The 1,726-nt window shown below is 40.3% G+C and overlaps 1 annotated feature.

The window, feature by feature from the left end:
• Nucleotides 373-873: an enhancer, noted in NCBI's record as "H3K4me1 hESC enhancer chr13:110585574-110586074 (GRCh37/hg19 assembly coordinates)". NCBI's record gives its function as "activates a minimal SCP1, AML or CMV promoter by ChIP-STARR-seq in naive and primed H9 embryonic stem cells {active_cell/tissue: H9 hESC(naive and primed)}" and the evidence as "EXISTENCE:reporter gene assay evidence [ECO:0000049][PMID:30033119]".

Below are 1,726 nucleotides of genomic sequence, written 5' to 3' on the forward strand. Positions count from 1 at the left end.
ATACCATCTAAATGTACAGTGATCACAGGGGAAAAAGAAAATGAAGAATTATCCAAGCATTTCTTCCAAAAATGGTGCCAAGCCCGCAGTTTTTGGGCTAAGTTCTTTCCAACTTTCAAGGAACAGATAATTAGCAGGCTATGTAAACTGCTGTAAAGCAGAGGAAATCGCAGGAAGCTTCCCTGCCCACTTTACAAAGCCAGCACAGATCCGATCCCAAAACCTGACAAAAGTGGCACAAAAAAGAAAATGACAGGCTATGAATAAGCTTATTAAAATTCTAAATAAAGCACTAGCAATTTCAGACCAAGTCTATATTAAAATGACAATAGTTCACGATCAAATAAAATTATTCAAGGAGCACAAGGATATTTTAATATATCACATTAATAGATTACAAAGAAAACCATATAATCATCTTTAAAATGCCCATAAAAAGGCATCTGAAAAAATGCAATCTCCATCCCTGGGTTAAAGAAAGAAAATTAAAAAGGACCAAAAATCTTTAGGAGGCCAGGATCAAAAAGCTGATTCTCTAATATTGTACTATCATGTAGACTTCCTTAAATTTTAGCCTAGAAGCTACTTACATGAGAATTATCTGGGTGCTTGTCTAAAAGGTAGATATGTATGTAGTCTTTTCTGTTGAATCACTTATCCATTGCCACAGAAATCCTATGTAACACACCACCCCCAAACGGTGGCTTAACATCATAAGCATTCATTTCTTTTGTGCTCTGTGAGTAGGATATTTAGGCGAGATGTTTCTTCTGACCCTGGCCTCCTGGCTCACAGGAGGAGGGCTCAGCGGGCTGTAGCTGATCTGGTGGTTTGGCTGCAGTGACCTGGCGCAGTGGCTCTGCTCCACACTCCTCCTCTTCACCCTGGGGCCAGCCACCTCGCCTGGGCATCTTGTTGTGGGGATGGCAGAGATGCAGGATGGCAAGCACCTGCCGGACGTCCCTTTCAAGCCTGTGCTGCTATGACATCTTCTGACATCCCATGGGCCACAACACTTCACACAGCTAAGCCCAGTGTTAAGGGGCGGGGTCAAGCATGTCCCTAGTCAAAGCCTATTTCAACTTGCTACAGGAAAGGGTGTGGACAAAGGGGCAGAACATCAGGGCCATATCTGTGCTTTCCAGATTTTCTACAATTCTCATGTTACATTTGAAATCGTTTTTATTTAAAAAATTAAAAATTAAGTGCATAGGTTTGAGAGACATTACGTATGTGCTACTGTGGGAGAGACCACAGCCTGCAAAGTGTCTAATCCCAATGGGAGATAGAAAACAAATGTGGGTTTCTCTGTTCATCAAAAGGGAAAAAAACACAAGAAAGAAAAAGAAATACCCCCCAGAGCCAAAGGGACTGGAGCAATTGGGGTGGCTGTTGGGAGTAAAGAGTGAAATAGAGCAATATTTTTTAAACTTCAGTTTGTCATTGACTATTAGATCAAGATAACAATTTCATGGTCCGTAAAAACTTTTAAAATTTTTTATTTAAAAACATTTTTATTTTAGGTTTGGGGGTACATGTGAAGTTTTGTTACATAGATAAACATGTGCCACGTGGGTTTGTTGTACATACTATTACATCACCCAGGTAATAAACTCAGTACCCAATAGTTACTTTTTCTGCTCCTCCAGCTTCTCCCCCCTCCCCACTCAAGTAGACCATAGTATCTGTTGTTTCCTTCTTTGTGTTCATAAGTTCTTATCATTTA

Source organism: Homo sapiens, chromosome 13 (assembly GCF_000001405.40).
Source record: "Homo sapiens chromosome 13, GRCh38.p14 Primary Assembly".
NCBI lineage: Eukaryota > Metazoa > Chordata > Mammalia > Primates > Hominidae > Homo > Homo sapiens.